At 42.3% G+C, this 23,541-nt stretch overlaps 1 protein-coding gene, 1 long non-coding RNA gene and 1 other non-coding gene across 24 annotated transcripts in view, besides 3 other annotated features; 2 read left to right on the top strand and 1 right to left on the bottom strand.

The window, feature by feature from the left end:
- Positions 1 to 3,139, bottom strand: part of DMXL1 (Dmx like 1) — a 178,101-nt gene extending 174,962 nt beyond the window's left edge. For 11 of the 22 annotated variants that reach the window (NR_170869.1, NR_170867.1, NR_170868.1 and 8 more), the window contains exon 1: positions 2,510 to 3,079. Coding sequence is in view for 15 of the 22 variants with exons in the window: in XM_005271910.6 (XP_005271967.1) it covers positions 2,510 to 2,596 (87 nt within the window). In the remaining 7 variants the exon portion in view is untranslated. Of the gene's footprint in view, positions 1 to 2,509 lie in introns of all 22 variants that reach the window. The other 11 variants (XM_005271909.5, NM_001349239.2, NM_001387933.1 and 8 more) reach the window with 5 other exon arrangements.
- Positions 2,643 to 2,922: a silencer, noted in NCBI's record as "silent region_16262". NCBI's record gives its function as "represses an Ori minimal core promoter by ATAC-STARR-seq in GM12878 lymphoblastoid cells {active_cell/tissue: GM12878}" and the evidence as "EXISTENCE:reporter gene assay evidence [ECO:0000049][PMID:35858748]".
- Positions 3,233 to 3,312: a silencer, noted in NCBI's record as "silent region_16261". NCBI's record gives its function as "represses an Ori minimal core promoter by ATAC-STARR-seq in GM12878 lymphoblastoid cells {active_cell/tissue: GM12878}" and the evidence as "EXISTENCE:reporter gene assay evidence [ECO:0000049][PMID:35858748]".
- The window catches only part of DMXL1-DT (DMXL1 divergent transcript), a 74,579-nt gene continuing 54,313 nt past the window's right edge, over positions 3,276 to 23,541 (top strand). Inside the window, exon 1 of the long non-coding RNA NR_134250.1 lies at positions 3,276 to 3,360. This is a non-coding gene — a long non-coding RNA (DMXL1 divergent transcript). The remainder of the gene's footprint in view (positions 3,361 to 23,541) is intronic.
- Positions 4,766 to 4,869, top strand: LOC124901209 (small nucleolar RNA U13). The gene has a single exon (XR_007059173.1). It is a non-coding gene; the product is annotated as a small nucleolar RNA U13 (small nucleolar RNA).
- Positions 10,194 to 10,303: an enhancer, noted in NCBI's record as "active region_22958". NCBI's record gives its function as "activates an Ori minimal core promoter by ATAC-STARR-seq in GM12878 lymphoblastoid cells {active_cell/tissue: GM12878}" and the evidence as "EXISTENCE:reporter gene assay evidence [ECO:0000049][PMID:35858748]".

The raw sequence follows: 23,541 nt of genomic DNA, 5'->3' as shown, positions 1-23,541 counted from the left end.
TGGTGGATCACCTGAGGTCAGGAGCTCCAGACCAGCCTGACCAACATGGTGAAACCCCACCTCTACTAAAAAATACAAAATTAGCAGGGCATGGTGGCACATGCCTGTAATCCCAGCTTCTCAGGAGGCTGAGGCAGGAGAATCTCTTGAACACAGGAGGCGGAAGTTGCAGTGAGCTAAGATCGCGCCATTGCACTCCAGCCTGGGCAACGACAGCGAAACTCCGTCTCAAAAAAAAAAAACAACACAAAACAACTCAAGAAGTAAACAATAGATTCTGCCTTTTAACATGAGAGAAGAAAAAAGGGCGATTTCAAGAGAGAAAAATTTAAGGTGTATATAAGTGTCCAGGATAATGAGCGTAAGCAACTTAAAGAGTCAAGGATGAACAGGCTGCAAAGGAAAACCATGACTGTTAAATCCTTAAAATTCCATCAAAACTAAAGAGAGCTGAACTCTCTTTATACTTAAAAATTTATTTTTAGTTTATTTACTGAATGCTTCCAGAGACCTGGAAGAAATCTGCAGTAGGCTTGGTGGGAGATTAAATCCTACTCAATGGAAATGAACTTTAAAATTCAGCAGAACTGAGCAACAAGCTACATGATGGTACAGGATGACCATCTATCTAATCCTCCTCGGCACATTAACTGATCTCTCCTTAAAAACAATACACAGACATTCACCAAGGTTTTATAGAGGAATGCATCCAGGTATATAAATAGGCCATCATACTGCATATGCTTTGAAGTTCACACCACTGCTTACATAGATTGTGAATGCCTTCTTAGAAAAAATTCTTAGGGCTGGGCATGGTGGCTCACGCCTCTAATCCTAGCATTTTGGGAGGCTGAAGTGGGAGGATCACTTGAGCCCAGGAAGTCAAGACCAGCCTGGGCAACATAAGGAGACCCCTCTCTACAAAAAATAGAAAACTTAGCCAGCCGTGGTGATTAGAATCTGTAGTCCTAGCTCCTCAGGAGCCTAAGGTGGAAGGACGGCTTGTGCCGGGGAGGTCGAGGCTGCAGTGAGCTGTGATCCCGCCACTGCACTCCAGCCTAGGTGACAGAGGGAGACCTCATTTCAAAAGTTTTTAAAAAGCAAAAGTTCTTAGAATTTACACTGGAGAAAGCACTCATATAAATTTAGGAAATGACAGAGAATGCAACAATATTATCCTATAATTTCCCACTAGGAAAACCTTCTAAGGATGATGTTTACTTTCCTCTCAAGCAGCAAGAGCAGAGAGCAATGCCCAGGTGTAAGGAAACTATAGTTGCTCACTGGGACCCTCAGAGCTCACTCTTTTCCCAAGTATTCAGGCTGGGCAAACATTTAGAATTGGAATCCCGATAATTAAGATGTGTATGAGTCAATCTAAAGGGGAGGTACAGTCTCTATTTGAAAACAAAATGCTTCTTGGCACAATTCTAAAAGTACAATTCAGGCATTAAATGCCTCCACCATTTTAAATGCTGAGTATTATTTATTCTGACCAACAAAGACCACAGAAAAATTAAAAGCAGAGAAAAAGATTAGAAATTTAACACTCCTAAACCTGGGGCATTGGTTACGTTGTTTACTTTGTGTCACTTATACAAAATTAAGTTTTACTTTTATTTTTTTTAAAGAAAAAAGCCTACAGCACTTAGTATTCCCAGGCAGTGACAAGTTTTACTTTTAATCACAACTAAAGAGGTATCTACACAAATTGTAGCAAAAATCATTAGCATTATAAATTTATGTAGATAAAAGTATCATGTGCAATTACTGACTTATATTTTGAAATTGTTATTAAAAAAAAACCTATAGTTAAGGTAGAAAAATGCCACTATACTGACAAGTAGCCCGAAATTTGGTGCCCTCTTCTTGTCAATATGTGACCAATGAAAAGCAAGTTAAGCAACCTTAACCTGGGATTACCAGGTTATTGTAAAATATCCAAGAAATATTTTTAAAAATGAAAAGGCTTTTTTTTCTTTCCGAAGTTATTTCTCAGGGAATTAGAAAAGAAAATAAATGAAAAACACTGTTCTCAAGGCTAGTTGTTGATGGCAAACAATTGGTAATTGTTTTGAGACACCCACTTTTTAACTACAAAGATACTTGACCTTAACTTAGAATACAAAATGAAACCAATCTCCACTATTCCTAAATTTGACAATTTGAACCTATAGAATGGTATAAAAAAGCCCCCAACTCGTTACTCAACAAAGATTTTTGAACAAACGACTTTGGCAAAGCACCCTGGCCCAAGGCAGACAGACCAAAAACTTTAAAAATCCTACAAAATATTCTAACTTGAGTTCAGGCTCCATACAGTACCTCACTGACCGACATGGTTTTGCTTCCTTAGTTCTCAAGGGCCAGGTCTGCTGGGTTCTGGGTGGTAAGGACCCCCCTGGGGAGACAAGACCTCGCGCCTCTGCCCGTCGTTCTGGGCCAAGCTCGGCCCAGAATGACGGGCAAAGGCCGGGCCACGGGCGACGCGAGGGCCTCCCTCACTCACCGTGAAGCGCTGGTCGCCAATGCTGCCCACGGAGAAGCAGTGGTCGCCAGGGTTCACAGCCCCGGTCAGCACCTGGTGCAGGTTCATGTCGGCGCCCTAGTCCTGCAACGGACACCGCATCCAGCTCATGCCACGGGTCAGCGGCTGCTTCCCTCCCTCCTTCCCTCAGGGGCGGCGGCCGCTCTTCGGTGGCGACGGCAGAAGCAGCGACAGGCGCCTGGAGCCGGAGCCGCTCAGCTGGGGCCCGCGACTCATCCCGAGCCCCGGAGGGCGAGGCCCGGAGGGGGCGGGTCGGCGAGAGGGCGGAGCGCCGCGCTCCTTCGCGCACCTGTCACTCCCCGCGCTAGCCCAGGTGAAGCTCAGGGTCCCCTCACCGGCCACGACCCGGGGCCGACTCACCGGCCAGGAAGGCCGCGCTGTCCACACACTTCCTCTGGACCTCGGGCAGCCGCTCCTGACCCAGCCCGAGTGGCGCAAGCAGTACGCGCTCGCACTCCCCGCCTGACCTGTCCCTTCCCGGCTCCGGTGCCCGCCACCCCCACAGTCCTCCGCCACTCACTACGCGCCTCTGGATCCCTGCGGCCGAAATATCGCGAGACTTCGCTCGGGGCAGCTGCTACTGTGGTAAAGAATTCACTTTTTTACCACAGCGTGCGTATCAGCAAGTGAACATAAAAACGCCTCTTCTAGTCAGAAACTGGCCAATCCCGACCCCCGGTCCACCTAGGGCTCCGCCCACCACCGAGAATAAGCCAATCTCTTTGAGGCTTCTACAGGAGAACGCCGTGCGTTTGAGCTTGAACCTGATAAGCCTGGCAGAAGCCTGATGAACCCAGAATGAGTGAGATGTGGTAAGTTGTGCTTTAGGTTAGGGCGTCATCTAACTGTTGGGCCAGAAAATTTAAAGGGGAGAAGTGCATCCTAAAGGGAGTTGCAGTTTCCTCGGTTCTGGTAGGACTACAAGTCCCAATATGCACCGCTCCCCCGGGCGACCTGAGTGTCTCTTGAGTAAATGTGACCCTTGAAACGTCTACGTTAGCAGCTTAATGGTTTCTCCAGCCTTGCGCGTGTTTCCAAGTCCCTAAACGGGATGGTTTTTGAAAGGCTCGAACACTTGACAAGTAGGAAAGTGGTATTTTCTTAGCCTAAGTTATCTTAACACGTGATTTGAAATAGTGCTGGTAATAACAACACACCAGCCCTGCATTGAGCGTTTGTTTTGGAAAAGAACCTAGGAATTCCAGAATGATCAGAGTCACAGCTACAAACTGAGATTCAACTCTCATTGTATTTTGACACAAGTTTTGTATTATAATTGACAAACATCTGTTTATATGTCTCCCCCTGTATACCGTAAGCCTCTTTGGAATACAGAGGAACAGGACACAAGTCTGTCCTTAATGTCTAGCACCGCACCAGTCCCACCCATTCAGGGTGTTCTGTAAATGTTGCATGAATGTGTATAGAAACTCTCCAAATAGGCCAGGCACGGTGACTCACGCCTATTATTCCAGAACTTTGGGAGGCCGAGGAGGGTGAATCACGAGGTCAGGAGTTCGAGACCAGCCTGGCCAACATAGTGAAACCCCCTTCTCTACTAAAAATACAAAAATTAGCCGGGCGTGGTGGCTCCCACCTGTAATCCCAGCTACTCGGGAGGTTGAGGCAGGAGAATCACTTGAACCCGGGAGGCAGAGGTTGTAGTGAGCCAAGACCCCCGTTGCACTCCAGCCTGGGTGACAGAGTGAGATCCCGTCTCAAAACAAACAACCCTCAAAACTCTCCAATAGGCCAGGCACGATGGCTCACGCCTGTAATCCCAGCACTTTGGTAAGTCGAGGTGGGGGCGGGGGGATCACCTGAGGTTGGGAGTTCGAGACCAGCCTGGCTAACATTGTGAAACCCAGTTTCTACTAAAAATTAAAAAATTAGCCTGGCATGGTGGCACGCGCCTGTAATCCCAGCTACTGGGAAGCTGAGGCGAGAGAATCGCTTGAACCTGGGAGACGGAGGTTGCAGTGAGCCAAGATCGTGTCATTGCACTCCAGCTTGGGCAACAAGAGAGAAAGTCAAAAAAAAAAAAAAAAAAGAGAGAAAAGAAAATAAAGAAACTCCCCCTTTTGTTGTAGTATGAAGACTTCAAACTATAATAATACTAGGGTGGGACGAGTACTAGTAAATTTATTTCCTTTTATTTTTACTACATTTTTTGCAATGTACATTTACTTTGTCTGACAATAAAAAGCTACTTACGAGATACTTTTTAGTTCATAAGTGGGATGATTGTGTGTTCACACTTGTGTGAGACGTCCCTCCCTCAAACCTTGTTGCGCCATCATCTGCACATTACCCATCTGATGTGGGGAAAAAAAAAAAACCCGAAACTTATTTAAAAAATGAATTTCATTATGTATTCCAGGCTTTTCATAAGATAAGGGACAAAACTTAATTTGTCTTTTTTTAAAATATACTTATTTTTTGAGGTCTAACATACCTACAGTTTGTCTTTTATTATTTCAAATTATACTTCAAGTGCTTTTTAATTTTATATTTTAGACCCAGAACCAGGATTGTTGTACTTGTGTGGCTCCCACATAAATTCTGTGGCTGGTTCATAATTTAACATGTTTACTCATTCTATTTTGCCCATTTGTTAGTTTTGAAGAGCATTCCACGTATTAGAATAAAACTGAGCAACAAGATGCGGGGCGCGGTGGCTCACGCCTGTAATCCCAGCACTTTGGGAGGCCAAGGCGGGCAGATCATGAGGTCAGGAGATCAAGACCGTCCTGGCTAACACAGTGAAACCCCGTCTCTACAGAAAATACAGAAAAAAAAATTAGCCAGGCGTGGTGGCGGGCACCTATAGTCCCAGCTATTTAGGAGGCTGAGGCAGGAGAATGGCGTGAACCCGGGAGGCGGAGCTTGCAGTGAGCAGAGCTTGCGCCACTGCACTCCAGCCTGGGCGACAGAGCAAGACTCCATCCCAAAAACAAAACAAAACAAAACAAAAAACAACAAACAAACAAAATTCCCTTTGCCTCCAAGATGCTGCCCCTCACAGATCATCTCCTAATGTCATAAAATTCCCCTACTAAGGTTCTGTCGAATCCTAAATCTATTCCTGATTTATTGTGCAACTTTGACATGACTCTGACCTTATGGGAAGATTAATAAGAAGGTGGAGGAGGTGAAAGTAAATTTTAGGTTGTTTGCCCCTCATCCTCCTGTTCCTGTTTCCTTACTGCGGGTCTAGAAGGCAGCACTGCATGCCTCCATTCCACTTGCTCAAAGTCTCCACATTCCTTCTACCAAAGGCTCACAAATCAACCTGCTAATCCAAGAAATCCAGGAGAAGGGCCTGGTGCAGTGGTTAACACCTGCAATCCCAGCGCTTTGGGAGGCTGAGGCAGGAAGATCCCTGAACTCAGGAGTTCCAGGTTGCAGTGAACTATGATCACGCCACTGTACTCTAACCTGGGCGATAGACCTTGTCTTAAAAAAAAAAAAAAAATCCCGGAGAATTATTGAGTCTAATTATCCCCTCAACTATAATTGAATTATATCCTTCCATCCTTTGAATGCTCACTGACTGTGTGCTTTGGTGGTTTTCTTTTTTAGTTTCTAAAAAAAAATAAGAGAGAAAGGATGGCTCTACAAAAAAAAAAAAAAAAAAGTCTTGCTGTATGCAGCGCCAGTAGTCCCAGTTACCCAAGAGGCTAAGGCAGGAGAATCGTTGAGAGTCCAGGAGTTCAAGTCCAGTCTAGGTAAAATAGATCACGTCTCTTAAAAACCAAATAAAAAATTAAAAATAAAATAAAGGAAGTCTTTTATTGTATAGTTTGCATTATTACTAGCAGCAAGATGTCTTACATAACCGACGTGCCATGTGGTTTCTGAGATTGGCAGGCCAAAGATAAGTTTTGGTTTTCAATGCTAGTCTTCAAGAGGAGGGGGAATTTTTTTTTTTTTTTTTGGGACAGAGTCTTGCTCTGTCACCCAGGCTGGAGAGCAGTGGCGCGATCTCAAGAAGAGGGGGAATTTTATAAGAGTCAGTGGGTGGTGATAGTTTAAAGAAACCCAAGCAGGCCAAATTCTGAGATTCTTGGAAAGAAAAGGAGCATATAGGAAGCTAGCTCAGATTGGGAAATAATCATGCCTCTTGCCCACTCTTGATTTCTTGAAATCCTTGTCATTACCCTCCTCCCCCACCCCAAATAGACCAATCTAAATCCCTATTCTTGGCCGGGGGCAGTGGCTCACATCTGTAATCCCAGCACTTTGGGAGGCCCAGGCGGGCGGATCACCTGAGGTCCAGCGACCAACATGGCAAAACCCTGTCTTACTAAAAAATACAAAAATTAGGGCTGGGGGCGGTGGCTCATGCCTGTAATCCCAGCACTTTGGGAGGCCGAGGCAGATGGATCATGAGGTCAGGAGTTTGAGACCAGCCCGGCCAACGCAGTAAAACCCTGTCTCTACTAAAAATACAACAAATTAGACAGGAGTGCTGGCAGGTGCCTGTAATTCCAGCTACTCTGGAGGCTGAGGCAGGAGAATCGCTTGAAGCTGTGAGGTGGAGGTTACAGTGAGCCAAGATCATGCCATTGCACTCCAGCCTGGGTAACAAGAGTGAAACTCCGTCTCATGAACAAACAAACAAACAAAAAATTATCAGGGTGTGGTGGCACGTGCCTGTAGTCCCAGCTACTTGGGAGGCTAAGTCAGGAGAATCGCTTGAACCTGGGAGGCGGAGGTTGCAGTGAGCCGAGATCACTCCACTGCACTACAGCTTGGGCAACAGAGCGAGACTTCCTTTCAAAAAAAAAAAAAAAAAAAAATCCCTATTCTCCCAGGGCCTCTGTCACTAGATCCACCTATAGGGGCTTCAGTCCCCACTGCCAACACCGATAGATGAGGGAAGTTAGCAGTAAGGGAAATTCTTAGTCTCATAACTAAGCCTAAATCAAGGGGAGTATGCTGCTTTAATTTCACAAGCATTCTAACCTCATTATCTCATAAAAATAATATGAGGGTCTCTGCAACGAAGATGTTAGTTGCTCTGGAAACTTGCCTCTACCGCCAAGAGCAACCTTGCCTACAGCAAAATTCATCAGGAATAGTATAGGTTAAATAGATATTTGATAGCCTGGGGTAGTGACGCATGCCTGTAGTCCTAGCTACTTCAGAGGCTGAGGTAGGAGGATCGCTTGAGCCCAAGAGATTGAGGCTGCGATGTTCCATGATTGGCACCACTGCACTCTAGCCTGGGTTACAGAGGAAGACCCTGTTTCAAAAAAAAAAAGAATTTGTACAAATAATCCAAATTTAGAAAGATGTGAACAGGCCGGGCACGGTGGCTCATGCCTGTAATCCCAGCACTTTGGGAGGCCGAGGCGGGCGGATCACAAGATCAAGAGTTCGAGACCACCCTGGCTAACACGGTGAAACCCCATCTCTACTAAAAATACAAAAAAAATTAGCTGGGCGTAGGTGGTGCATGACTGTAGTCCCAGCTACTCGGGAGGCTGAGGCAGAAGAATGGTGTAAAACCCGGGAGGTGGAGGTTGCAGTGAGTCGAGATCGCGCCACTGCACTCCAGCCTGGGAGACAGAGCGAGACTCCGTCTCAAAAAAAAAAAAAAAAAAAAAAAGATGTGAACTGGAACTACCGTATATTCTTATTTTTTATCTCTTCTGCCTGAGGGAAGTGGAAATAGCTGCTAGAGAGTGACAAAGAAAAAAGAATTATAAACACGTGCACACACACACACACACACACACTTTTTTTTTTTTTCTTGAGACAGAATCTCACTCTGTCACCCAGGCTGGAGTGGAGTGGCACCATCACGATTCACTGCAGCCTTGACCTCCTGGCAGGCTCAGGTGATCCTTCCGCCTCAGCCTCCCAAGTAGCTGGGACCACAGGTACGCGCCACCAAGCCCAGCAAATTTTTGTATTTTTTGTAGTGACGGGGTTTTGGCGTGTTGCCCAGACTGGTCTCGAACTCCTGGGCTCAAGTGATCCACCCACCTCGGCCTCCCAAAGTGCTGGGATTGTAGGTGTGAGTCACCATGCCTGGTCACACACACTTTTTATATGAGGAATGTAAGCCCTTTTAAATTATCAGGCCCAGGAAGGCATTAAAATGAGACACCATTCATATCCTATTTCTCTCCTTGAACTATGTAATCTCTTGAAACTGCTTTCGTGGCTGGGCACGGAGGCTCACGCCTGTAATCCTAACACTTTGGGAGGCCGAGGTGGGTGGATCACCTGAGGTTGGGAGTTCGAGACCAGCCTGGCCAACATGATGAAACCTGTCTCTACTAAAAATACAAAAATTAGCCAGGCATAGTAGTGGCAGCCGCCTATGATCCCAGCTACTGGGGAGGCTGAGGCAGGAGAATCGCTTGAACCCGCTGGAGATCGTGGTGAGCCAAGATCGCACTCCAGTCTGGGCAACAGAGTGAGACTCCATCTCAAAAAAAAAAAAAAAAAAAGAAACTACTAGCTATATTCGCTGTTTCTACAAGTAACTATAAATTAATCTAACAATGCCACATTCTGGACAGTATAACCCACACACTGTAGCTCAATAATGTATAGCCAATCACTAATCAATGTTATTTCTGTGAACTGATGAGAATTCCTGACAAACAATTTTGTATAAGCCCACTCCTTATCCTCTTTTTGCCTTCAAAAATCTGCTTGTAGCGCCGGGCGCGGTGGCTCACGCTCGTAATCCCAGCACTTTGGGAGGCCAAGGTGGGCGGATCACGAGGTCAGGAGATTGAGACCCTCCTAGCTAACACAGTGAAACCCCGTTTCTACTGAAAATACAAAAAAATTAGCCGGACGTGGTGGCACGCGCCTGTAGTCCCAGCTACTCGGGAGGCTGAGGCAGGAGAATGGCGTGAACCCAGGAGGCGGAGCTTGCAGTGAGCGGAGATCGCGCCACTGCACTCCAGCCTGGGTGACAGAGTGAGACTCTGTCTCAAAAAAAAAAAAAAAAAAAAAATCTGCTTGTAGCAAAGGTCTGAACGGAGCACTTCCCAAGACAATTTGGAAGTGTGTCCCAGGCAGCTGTTCTCTACTTTGGCCCAAATATACTCTATATTAATTCTGAGGCTCAGCTTCTTTTGTTTTAGTTTGACAAGAGAGATGAATAAAAAGAGAAATGAACAACCACAACCTGGGCTACCTCTCGTTAGCAAACACATAGGCTCCAGGGCCCTACACTGAATTAAGGGAACGGTCCAAATTCCAGTAGTAATTCCCATGTGAAGAGGATTATAAGTCTGGCAAGTATCAGAGAGCTCATTAGAAGTAGATTACATAAATCCTACACATTTCACAAAGTGGGACATGGGAACCAAGTCTAGCAGTATAGATACCAGTTAGATACCGTGGGCAAATTAAAAAGAAATATCAATTGTGTAATCATTGTAGTCATTAACATCAAGTGAATATTTAGTAAAGTACTATTCTAAGCATTCTGTATTGACTCATTTAATTCTCATGTCAACCTGAAGAGATAGATACTATTATTCCCTCCTCCCCCATTATTTTCCCCTATTATTTTCTAACTTGTACAAGTAAGGAAACTGAGACAGAGTAAATTTCCTTGCCCAAGTCACATAGTAAGGGGTAGAGGGAGAAGTTCTTAACTGTTATAGTATACTGCCTCTATACAAGAGAAAAAACGAACCCTCTACACTGTTCTCCATCTCCACTACCACCTCCTACTCATAGCAACCCCTCCCACTCAAACCACAAGGAAAGACACATGACCGATAATAAAACTACTCGGTAAGATTTATGCAATATATTCTGCTTGCCAGGGATTGTTCTGTGTATTTCTACACAGAATGTAATCTTTACAATATAATCCCTAGATTACAGATAAGGAAACGAAAACAGTAAAGGGCAGTAATTTCCCAAGGTCACACAGCTAGCTGGGATTTAAGTCCATTATGTCTGGCAACACAGAACACATGCCCTTTCCCAGGCAGGTCTATACTGCCTCACCTCTGTTTCCCTAGCTACTGTAATTGACTCAGGGATGAACCCCAGCTGGGTCAATCAGAATCTTTCTCCAGGATTTTCTGCTGCATCTATCAGGGAACTCTTGCATTTTTGAAGTAATTAAACATTGTCCCTGAACATAAATGACCCTTGAGTGTTTTAGGAAGAATGAAGAAAGAAAAGTAGAGCTGAACTCCATTTTTGATATTTACTACAGGGAGTAAAGGGAAGCCATGACAACCTCACTTGAACTCTTGGTCCAGTCCTGTTTAATGTCCATCCTACCCAATTATGTGAGCACAAAATCCTCCCCACCTACTTTACATATATATATAATATATATATTATATATATAATATATATATTTAATATATAATATATATATTATATATATTTAATATATAATATATATTATATATATTTAATATATAATATATATTATATATATTTAATATATAATATATAAAATATATATATAATATATATATTATATATATTTAATATATAATATATAAAATATATATATAATATATATAATATATATATTATATATATTTAATATATAATATATAAAATATATATATTATATATATATAATATATATATATATAGTGAGAGAGAGAGAGATGAGTCATGCTATGTTGGCCTCAAGCAATCCTCCCTCCTTGGCCTACCAAAGTGTTGGGATTACAGGTGTGAACCACCATGCCCAACCTCTACCTACTTTTTTTTTCTTAAGTTCGCTTGAATTCCATTTCTGTCACTTTGGATAACAAGACTAACACATGATAACTTAAATTCCCACCAACATGAGAATTCCAGTTTTTCTGCATCTTTAGAAAGTATTAAGCATATGAATTAACAGAGAGAACACTAGAGATTAGAGAAAAGCAAGAATATGATTCCTGAAAGGTGCTTAATACATAACTTGACAAAACTAACTTTAATTGCCAGCAGTAGGATTTTTAAACTTTTTTTTTTTTTGAGACAGATTCTTGCTCTGTTGCCCAGGCTGGAGTGCAGTGGCACCATCTCGGCTCACCGCAAGCTCCGCCTCCCAGGTTCACGCCATTCTCCTGCCTCAGCCTCCCAAGTAGCTGGGACTACAGGCGCCCGCCACCACACCCGGCTAATATTTTGTATTTTTAGTAGAGATGGGTTTCACTGTGTTAGCCAGGATTGTCTTGATCTCCTGACCTCGTGATCCGCCCGCCTTGGCCTCCCAAAGTGCTGGGATTACAAGCATGAGCCACCGCGCCCAGCCAGAAAAGGATTTTTAAAAACAAAAGTATAGACACAAGGTGAAAATTCTACAGAAAAATATGTAACAGAGTTCTGAATGAATAGAAGAAAGCAGAGTTGAGGAATGGGTGAATTGCTTAATCTTTCACCTGCTGAGTTTTCATTCCCTGTACAGCAGAAGGAAAAAAAAGAGAAAACTTTTTTAAGAAAGAAATTCAGTAAGCAGCTTTCTGAAAACACTCATTTCTGTCACTGAAATTGCTACAAATGCAAATATCCACAATACCTTTCCCTGTATTCTAGAAGAACACTTCCATATTCTCTGTGCAGAGGCTTTTGGTTATAATTCCTGGATTTAAAGCATCCAAAGAGAGAAAGCTCCAGGTTTGCACATACTGCTTTAATTAAACAATAATGGATTTTTAGTAAGTAGGGTCTTTTGCTCTCTAAATCTAAAGAACTAAAGGTAGATAAAAGAAACATCTTTTGCTGTAAGTGAAAAAGTAATTTTTGCTCTACTATATATATATTTCTGGGAAGAAAAAAAATCTCACCCTCAAGCTTGTGTTCTTTAAAATGAAATATTTTGACCAAGCAGAGTGGCCCATGCCTATAATCCCAGCAATTTGGAAGGGCAAGGCAGGATAGCTTGAGACCAGGAGTTCAAGACCAGCCTGGGCAACATAGAGAGAGACCTCATCTCTATTTTTAAAAAACGAAATGTTAAAATATATGATGGTAGTTTTACATATTTCTAATTTTTTATTATAGATAATGCAGTCTGGTGTCTGACATATTACATTTGTTTGCTTAATATTTTTTCTAGAAAAGGTTTTTATCCTGGAAAAAAAAGAGGGAAAACATTTTGAAGATTTCTTTTAGAAAAGTAATGGAAGCTGGGCGCGGTGGCTCATACCTGTAATCCCAGCACTTTGGGAGGCCAAGGTGGGTGGATCACCTGAGGTCAGGAATTTGAGACCAGCCTAGCCAACATGGTGAAACCCTGTCTCTACTAAAAATACAAAAATTAGCAGGGCATGGTGCAGGCACCTGTAATCCCAGTTACTCTGGAGGCTGAGGCAGGAGAATCACTTGAATCCGGGAGGCAGAGGTTGCAGTGAGCCAAGATCGTGCCATTCCACTCCAGCCTGGGCAACAGGAGTGAAACTCCATCTCAAAAAAAAAAAAAAAAAAAGAGAGAGAAAAGAAAAGTAGTAGTGGAAACTAGCCACTAATTAGCAGGGTTGGATGACTAAGGAAATGGTATTTTACTAATGTAGTAAGATAGGGAGAAAATAGTAGGATAAGCCATTTTGGGTAGGTAAGGCTAAGACTAATTTCAGCATTAGAAGTTGAAGTAATCATGGGGCGTCTATTACAGAAGATAGTTGGGAAGATGGGATTGGGGCTCAGGAATGCTGTCAGAGCAGGTAATACAAAACCAAGAGCTATCTTCTGTCAAGAGTTTAGCGTCATGAATGGAGGAGATTTCCAAGGGAGAAGGTGAAGAAAGTGGAGTAGAGAACTGAGAACTAAAGCTTAGTGACTACCCAATATTAGTAGTCAAGGGTTCAACTCTTCTAACGCAGTCAGGTGGATGGGAGGGGCATTGAGGAATAATGATTTTAGGAAGTGCCTGGGGGGGGGAAAAGGTTGCTGCTCAGAGAGTAAAAAGAATTGAAGTCTAAGAGAACATCGGATTTAGGATTTTAGAAAGTCATTAGTGACTGTCAGAAATGTACTTTGGTAAAGTGGAGGTTATCAATGTTAGATTAGATGATGAAGACATAAGGAGACCTTCACTGTGTAAATTGTCTTTGCCCTTTTACTTACTTTTTGCCCTTTTCTCAAGCGGGTTCCTGAAATAAGAAATCTATGAAGAAAATGACAAGACTCTGAAGAATTAGCTTGCCATGAGGGACTCAATCGGAGGCTTGAATCTGACCTGGAGACTGAGAACTCTTGAATAGATGAAGATAGTATCTTTCTTTTCCTTTCCTTCAATCTTTCTTTTTAAATATATTTGTTTGGTTGTTTTTTAGAGACTAAGAAGTTTTTAAATTGCCCTAATATCTACAAGGCTCTCACAGGGAAAGGTGCTGACTGGAGAATACCTACACTACAATAGATAAAAAGGCAGTGGCTTCCTAGGCTGCAGAGAACAAGTCCTTTCTAGCAGTGGCTCAGGACTACTGTTTTGAAAAGTCTAATTACTTTGCTTCTCTGACCTTGATTGCTACCTTTAAAAGAAGCTTTAAAGCCTGTTTGGTCTCCTAAACTTGCCAAGCCCTGCTGCCTGGGTCTAGTCAGTAATCTTGCCCTGCACAGACCTCTTACTGTCTGACCACAGGCCTTAGCTAACCCCATTTGTGTCACACCCCACTGCTATGCCTCCTTTGGAAAGGCCTATCTAAGAAGTAGCTCCTTATATAAATGGAAGGACACTAAAGACTCCTGATGGAGTAAACACAGAGGAGATAAGGAATCAAGGGTGGAGGGATTGGTCTTGGACATGGTAAATGTAGAGATAGAGACTATCTAGTCAGAAAGGTTAAACTTGATAGTCTTCATTCTACAAAGTAGGATGCAAATTCTTTTCAAAGAGGAACTGTGAATTGTATAGTATGTGAATTATCTTTCAATAAAGCTATTTTTAAACAGCAGAGAATGTAAGAGATGGACTAGAATTAGGAAAGTATTGGGTTTAAAAGTCACATTCATATTACGATGGCAATTCCTGGTTATGGATCTCTTTAATGATGTTTCTATACAGAGTGAATGTAGTAGTCTGTATGTTTCTCTCTTCCTTTTTAATTGAAATATTAGATTGCTCCAAAGGTTTCCATACAACCTGTTCAACTTTCTAGCAGTCATTCCAGAAAGGGAACAAATGAAGTGTAACCATATATTTACTAATCAACAAATGCAAACATGATGGCTATATTAAATATTCAAATGCATAAATAATATTTATATTATATGTGTTAGGCTGTACATAACAGACTAGGCAACTAGCAGTGGCTTAAATAAAAAATATTTATTATTAAATATATATTATTATAATATGTTATTATTAAATATATATTTTATAAATATTTATTATTAGGTTGTAGCATGTGCCTATATTCCCAGCTATGTATGCCAGAGGAGGCTGAGGCAGGAGGATCCCTTGAGCCCAGGACAGGAGTTTGTGACCAGCCTGGGCAACATAGCAAGACCCCATCTCTGAAAAATAAAAATAAAAATAAAGACATACAATTGAGTCATACAATAAAGATAGTTCCAGAATTGTTCAGCAGCAAAGTGTAGGCTTACCCCTGATGGGCACACATTGGCTATAGAAGCACCAAATGTTTTGTTCTCACCACACAACATACAGAAAAGCAGGAAGGTGGGGAAGGAAAAAGGCATGCTTCTCACTTTCTACTTTTCTTTTATCAGGAAGAAAAATCTTTCTAGGAAGTTACCAAGCAAACTTCCTATTATACATCAATGGCCAGAAGTGGGCCACATTGCAAACCCCTAGTTTCAAGGGTGGATGGCGAAGTGAAAAATTAGGTTTTTTAGCCTTAGAAAAAGAAGTGCATGAAAGGAGGGGCTGGAAATGGCTGTTGGATAGGCAACCAAACTGTCTGCTGTATTATTCATTGGGAAAAAGGATAATAAAACCAAGAAATATTTGCTTGAGGAACGTCAGATATGAACAGATTTCATTTAAACTCACAAAGCTGAGAAGCTGAGAACAAAGATTTGAGATGTGAGTAGCACACTTGAATAGCAAGCAAAACTTCAAAAACCAAAACATGAACCTGGTTATGAAAATAAATCTGATTAAGGTAGCTCTGTGTTTTAGATTCTACTGAGTTTGGGAGGACTGCAGATTTTTTGTAGTAGTGGCTAACTCTTCCTGGAATTCTCCCAGATGCGCAGGAGGCCAAGAGCCTGGGTATCTGCATCTGAAACAAATTAGCCTGGGATGTTTCTTTTTTTTTTTTTTTTTTGAGACGGAGTCTCGCCCTGTCACCCAGGCTGGAGTGTAGTGGTGCGATCTCGGCTCGCTGCAACGTCCGCCTCCCTGGTTCAAGCAATTCTCCTGCCTCAACCTCCCGAGTAGCTGAGATTACAGGCATGTGCCACCAGGCCTGGCTAATTTTGTATTTTTAGTAGAGACAGGGTTTCTCCATGTTGGTCAGGCTGGTCTCGAACTCCCGACCTCAGGTGATCTGCCCGCCTCGGCCTCCCAAAGTGCTGGGATTACAGTCGTGAGCCACCGTAGCCAGCCTCATTCCCCGTCTTAATCTGCCTTTTGTCAGTTTAATTGAAAGGCCCTAAAACTATGCTATCGGGGATAATTTCTATAGATCATTACCTAATTTATATAGATCATTAATATGCTATCAGGGATAATTTCTATAGATCATTTCTGTAAATCATTAATATAGAAATGATCATTTCTATAGGTCATTACTAGAGATCATTACTATAGATCATTACTAATTGAAAGGCCCTAAAACTATGCTACCAGGGATAATTTCTATAGATGATTACTAATTTCTATAGATCATTACTAATTTCTATAGATCATTGCTATGCTATCAGGGATAATTTCTATAGATCATTACTAATTTCTATAGATCATTGCTATGCTATCAGGGATAATTTCTATAGATCATTACTAGAGAAGCTTCTCTGTATGTGTGGAGCAAAAGTAAAAACAAAAACAAAAAAAAGAAAGGTCCCCATTGATGTACCTAAGAGGGTAGAGGAAAAGTTTTTATCCTCCTCAACAAGCCTGTCATTTTTCACAAGTAGTACTATTGGCATTTGGTGGGACAGTTCACTGTGTGGGACTAGTCCATAACCAGTAGTATACACACATTCCACTTCCCCACTGTCCCCCATCTTACAATATGTCACCAAAATTGCTCCACACATATCCTAAGTAAGATTGCCAGATAAAATACAGGAATCCCAGTCAAATTTGAATTTCAGATTATTTCAGAATAATTTTTTTTTTGAGACAGAGTCTTGCTCTATCGCCCAGGATGGAGTGTAGGGGTGAGATCTTAGCTCACTGCAACCTCCGCCTCCCAGGTTCAAACAATTCTCCTGCCTTAGCATCCTGAGTATCTGGGACTAGAGGTGCATGCCACCACACCAAGCTAATTTTCATATTTTCAGTAGAGACAAGGTTTTGCCATGTTGGCCAGGCCAGTCTCGAAACTCCTGATCTTAGGTGATCGGCCCACCTTGGCTTCCAAAGTGCTGGGATTACAAGACATGAGCCACCATGCCCCGCCCAGAATAATTTTTTTAATAAGTTTTAAATATTGCATGGGATATACTTCTTACTAAAAATTATTTGTTGTTTGTCTGAAATTCAAATTTTTTTTTTTTTGAGACAGAGTCTCCCTCTGTCACCCAGGCTGGAGGGCACTGGAGCGATCACCGCTCACTGCAACCTCTGCCTCCCAAGTTCAAGCAATTCTCCTGCCTCAGCCTCCCGAGTAGCTGGGACTCCAGGTGTGCGCCACCACAGTGGCTAATTTTTGTATTTTTAGTAGAGACAGGGTTTCACCATGTTGGCCTCCCAAAGTGCTGGGATTATAAGTGTGAGTCACCATGCCTGGCCTCTGAAATTCGGATTTAACTGGGCCTCCTGTATTTTTAAAATGTATTTTATTTTTTAGAGCAGTTTTAGGTGTACAGCAAAATTGAAAGGTAAAGTACAGAGATTTGCTGTAAATTTCCTTCTCCCACACAAGCACAGCCTCCCCAAGTATCAATATCCCCAACCAGAGTGGTGCATTTATTACAACTGATGCTCTTGGATTCATCATTATCACCAGGAGACCATAGTTTACATTAGGGTTCACTCTTGGTGTTGTATTATACATTCCACAGGTTTGGACAAATGTATTGTAGACCAAAAATAAAATTCTAAGATGCCCAACCATCCGCATGGACTTCCTTCTCAGCCAGGGCACTCTTAAAATTTAACCTGAGAGACTGGTTTAGGCCATGATGGGAAGTGGGGATTGGACATACCTCATTATACCTTTCCGGAATTAATAACACAGACCTTGAAGTCTGATAAGAAACATTTACAACTGATTCTCTCTAAAGCCTGCTATTTGAAGGCTTCCTCTCCACAACCTCTTACCTTAACCAGACATTCTTTTCTGTTAATCCCAGGTCTTTATATAAACTCAACAAATTGTTAACCAGAATTTTTTTCTTTTTTTTTTGAGATGTAGTCTCGGTCTGTCACCCAGGCTGGGTGACAGCACAAGCGGCTAATTTTTGTAATTTTAGTAGAGACAGGGTTTCACCATGTTGGCCAGACTGGTCTCGAACTCCTGACCTCAGGTGACCCGCCAGCCTCGGCCTCCCAAAGTACTGGGATTACAGGCGTGAGCCACTGCACCTGGCGTCAACCAGAAAATTTTTAAATCTACCTGTAAGCTGGAAGCCCTGCTTCAGCTTGTCCAGCCATTCTTAAATGTATTTGATTAAAGTCTCATGTCTCCCCAAAATGTATAAAAGCAAGCTGTGCCCCAACCACCTGGGGCATATGTTCTCAGGATCTCCTAAGGGCTATGCCATGGGCCATGGTCACTCATACTTGGCTCAGAATAAATCTCTTCAAATATGTTACATAGTTTGACTCTTTTCATCGACAGTATAATGATAATATACCCACTGTTACAGCATCATGCAGGGTAATATCACTTCCCTAAAAATCCTCTTTGCTCCAACTTGCTATATTTTCATATGTTAAATCTAACAACTGTAATCCTTAGGCTTCCTAGAGTGGTAACACCTCTTAGGAGAACCAACTCCTCTCAGAAAGCCTTGCCAACTTGCTCAACATTCTAGAGCTCAAAATGTTGCAATCATCCATTCATTCAGCAAATACTGATTTGCAACATTTTACGGTATTTACTGGTTGGGCATGTTGGTGCATGCCTGTAAATTCCAGCACTTTGGGAGGCCAAGACAGGAGGATCGTTTGAGCCCAGGAGTTTGAGACCAGCCTGAGCAACATAGAGAGACCCTGTCTCTACAAAAAATAAAAAATTAGCCAGGCATGGTGGCACGTGTCTGTATTCCTAGCTACTTGGGTGGCTAAAGTGGGAGGATCACTTGAGCCTGGGAGGCTGTGGCAGCAGTGAGCCATGATCACACCACCGCACTCCAGCAAGGGCAACAGATTGAGACCCTGTCTCAGTAAATAAATAAATAAATGTTTAGTAAGCATCTTATGCTTTACTAGATGTTATAAAACACGGAAATAAATAAGAAATAATCCTTGATCTTCAGGGACTGTCGAAAGCTGGCTCCCCCAAATCACCTAATCAACCTGTTAATAAGACAAAGTTGTTTATTGCTTACTGTAGTGAGAGAGAACACTACTTCAACAGTCTTAATAGTGTCTCAGAGAAGGAAGAACAGAGTTGGGATATTTATTGAGATGTTGAAATTTGATTTAAGGCAAACCTTTTAATTCCAGTATGTGTGATGGTGTTGACTAGGATTAGATATAGATCATTACATGAATTAAATGGATTTATAGTTTAGAATTGGTAGACACAGCAAGGTAAGAATTTTGTGGTGAGATTTGGGATGTAAGCTATTTGATAACTTCTATTAAAGAGTTGATGGTTCTCCCAGGAAATTCCACTGTTTGCTATTTTTTAAAATTAATTACTTAATTTAGAGAAAGGGTCTCACTCTGTTACCCAGGCTGGAATGCAGTGGCATTATCTTGGCTCACTGCAGCCTCAACCTCCTGGGCTCAAGCAATCTCCTACCTCAGGCTCCTGAGTAGCTGGGACTACAGGCACATGCCACCACACCTGGCTAATTTTTGAAATTTTTTCATAGAGATGGGGTCTCACCAGGTTGCTCAGGCTGGTCTTGAACTGCTGGCCTCAAGCAGTCCTCCTGCCTCACCCTCCCAAAATACTGGGATTACAGGTGTGAATCACCATGCCCAGCCCCTTGATATTTTAGATCAAGAGTTTATATTTGTTTGCCTTTTCCTGGGAAAATCAACAATAGTCCTGGGCAACTACGCCTAGAATTTTATTGAGGTACACTCCTACTTTTCACAATTCCTTAACCAAGAATTCAAAGAATGTAAGTTTCTCAGTGATTCTACCTGTATTCAAAATGGAAGCCAGGTGTGGTGGTGCATGCCTGTAGTCCCAGCTACTCTGGAGGCTGAGGTGGGAGGATTGCTTGAGACCAGGAGTTCGAGACCAGCCTGGGCAACATAATAAGATGCTATGTTTAAGTAAAAAAACAAATAAACAACAACAACAAAGATAAACAACATAAACCCCAAATGTAGATTACTTTTTGTTGTGTTCTAAAGATGAGGTAAATCCTAAGACTGATTCCATCTCTTTACTTGCTGTTTTAGCTCAGAAATGCCATAAGGTTTCCAAAGAGAAGTTATAATTTTATAAAAGTAAAGTTCATTAGCTAGGACATGATTTATCCTTAGTTGGTTCAATCTGCTATAACAAAATATCATAAACTAGATAGCTTATAAAAAACAGAAATTTATTTCTCACAGTTCTGGAGACTGGGAATTCCAGGATTAAGGCAGATTCAGTGTCTGCTGAGGGCCCTCATTCTCACTTCACTTCATAGTGCCTTCTCCATGTGTCTTTACATGGTGGAAGGGGCAAGGGTCTCTCTGTGTCTTTTTTTATTTTTAAACCAAACTTTCCTTACATAGAGTTTTTTAGAAATGGGGTCTCACTATCTTGCCCAGGCTGGACTCAAACTCCAGGGCTCAAGCGTCCTCCTGACTCAGCCTCCCTGATAGCTAGGACTACAGGCACATAACATTGCATCTGTTTTGTATCTCTTTTATAAAGGCACTAATGGCCAGGTGCAGTGGCTCACACCTGTAATCCCAGCACTTTGGGAGGCCGAGGCGGGTGGATCACCTGAGGTCAGGAGTTCGAGACCAGCCTGGCCAACATAGTGAAACCCCGTCTCTGCTAAAAATACAAAAAAAAAATTAGCCAGGCATGGTGGCAGGCGCCTGTAATCCCAGCTACTCGGGTGGCTGAGGCAGGAGAATCGCTTGAACCTGGGAGGCAGAGGTTGCAGTGAGCTGAGATCACGCCATTGCACTCCAGCCTGGGTGACAGAGCAAGACTCCATCTCAAAAAAAAAAAAAAAAAAAAAAAAAGGCACTAATCTCATTCATGAGGGCTCAGCCCAAATGACCTCATGACTTCAAAGGCCCTATCATCTAACACCATCACCTTGGGGCTTAGGATTTCAACATATACGGTTTTTGGGGGGTACAGAAACATTCAGACCATAGCACATCCCAAGGAGATAAATCCTTCTGACAGATTATAGGCCATTTGAAACTTTGCTAAGCCACTAACTAAGACACAATTAAGAAGACTCCTAGTTGACATTGGCTTTTTCAGGCAGTGGGCGCCCAACAGTGTGTAGAAGTCAAGGGAAAGCTTCCCCTCTGCCTTCTACATTTTCACTGAAAATTAACTTACAATAAGCAGATTAATAGGAGAAAAAGGCATGCAAAACTTACTAACATGCATATGGATACAGGAGCCATATACAAAGTATGAGACTAGAAGAGGAGCCAGATGGTCGAGGCTTATATAGATTTATGGCAGCAGATACTATTTTGTAAATGAGACTATTTTGTAGATGAGACCAAGAGTTGCAAGTTATGGGAGGGTGAGGGGCAGAATGGCACAGAAACAAAGCTTGTCTCATTACACAGATAAAGTCTTCCACATAATCTGTGGGCCCTGCCCTCAGATGAACAGACGAAAAGCCTGTCTGGGTGTGGTGATTCCTTGTAGCTTCTCCTCTCTAGGTGGCTAATTTTTCCTGGTTATTTGATGAGATTCCTGGGGAGGGGTTCTTAAGTCAATTGCATTTCTTTTTTTTTTTTTTTTTTTTTGAGACAGGGTCTCACTCTGTCACCCAGGCTAGAGTGCAGTGGCACGATCTCAACTCACTGCAACCTCTGCCTCCCAGGTTCAAGAGATTCTCCTGCCTCAGCCTCCCAAGTAGCTGGAATTACAGGCAAGTGCCATCGTGCCTGGCTAATTTTTGTATTTTCAGTACAGACGGGGTTTCAGTAGAGATGTTGGCCAGGCTGGGACAATTGCATTTCTGTTGGAAGAATTTTTCTTAGTCCCATATGAAAATTCCAGAGGAGAGTCCCTCTTGGTGCTTTGGGAAAGAGAATGAGAGACAGGGAGGTAGCATAGAGATAGACTTTAAGTCTGCTTCTTCAGTGTAGCATGTCAAAGCACCATATTTTGGGGTATCATTTTCTTTTTCTTTTTTTCTGAGACAGGGTCTCGCCCTGTTGCTCACTGCAGCCTCGAATTCCTGGGCTCAAGCAATCCTCCCACCTTAGCCTCCCAAGTAGTTGGGACTACAGGTACATACCACCACACCCAGCTAAATTTTTATTTTATTTTTTGTAGATACAGGGTTTCACTATGTTTCCTAGTCTGGTCTTAAACTTTAAACTCCTGGGCTCAAGTAGTCATCTTGCCCCAGCCTCCCAAAGTCCTGGGATTACAGGTGAGAGCCACTGTTCTTGGCTCAGATATTATTTTGTGAGTTCCAACAAGTGTCTGTTCAAAGAAGCTATATGAGTTAACCAGTCTTTGTAACAAACCGCTTCTTTGGGAATCTAAATATGAACGAGTCTTTCTTGAGTTAAAAATGAGCCCTTCCTCACACCTGTAATCCCAGCACTTTGAGAGGCCAAGGCAGGTGGATCACGAGGTCAGGAGATCAAGACCATCCTGGCTAACAAGGTGAAACCCCGTCTCTACTAAAAATACAAAAAATTAGCCGGGCATTGTGGCGGGCACCTGTAGTCCCAGCTACTCAGGAGGCTGAGGCAGGAGAATGGCGTGAACCTGGGAGTCGGAAGTTGCAGTGAGCCGAGATTGCGCCACTGCACTCCAGCCTGGGCAACAGAGTGAGACTCTGTCTCAAAAAAAACAAAAAACAAAAAGAGCCCTTCAGTAGCTTTGTGTGGTTAGTCTGAGTAGCCACAGCAGCAGCTAAACTAGCAGAGACTTCAGCAATTGTTTTTGTTTTTGGAGTCTCCTTTAAATTTCATGGTCCCTCACGCTGTGTAATCTTTGGTTCTCACTGAATATATACAACATTTCTTAGTAAATAAGCTTATCTCTTATGAAATCCTATTACCTTCTCTGTTACATATTTCTAATCATTGTTATAATCTTGGAAAATCCTATTACTTTCCTTCCATCACCTGAAGAAAAGGAAATTCTTGACTGTCTAACCTATGTTTGTGAAATATCTGTGCATTAAATAGATTAGAAATTCCTTTAGAAAATCCAGACTTAATCTTGTTTGTTCGTGGGTCATATTTTAACATTAAAACAGAAAAATGTCACTTAGACTACACTGTTAAAAAAATAACTAAATTCACCCCTAAAATATAACCCCTTGCCAGAAATGGCAAAACTTGTAACCATAATAGATCCATTTCCTGATGTACACAGCAAGTCAATATGCTGAGACACTATGTTGCAGCAGAGAAAGAGGTTTAATCAGAAGGCTGCCAAATGAGGGGATTGGAGGAAACTTCAATCCATCTCCTCAAGGGGCTTGGGGCTAGGATTTTTTTTCTTCTGTTTATTAGGGTTTCCATTAAAAGTATTACATTTCCATTCTTTACAACCATAAAAGAATAAATAATTTCAAAG

The sequence above is a fragment of the Homo sapiens genome, chromosome 5 (genome assembly GCF_000001405.40).
Source record: "Homo sapiens chromosome 5, GRCh38.p14 Primary Assembly".
Taxonomy (NCBI): Eukaryota; Metazoa; Chordata; class Mammalia; order Primates; family Hominidae; genus Homo; species Homo sapiens.
The sequence above is the reverse complement of the archived record's forward strand: the minus strand, read 5'-3'. Positions and strand labels throughout refer to the sequence as shown.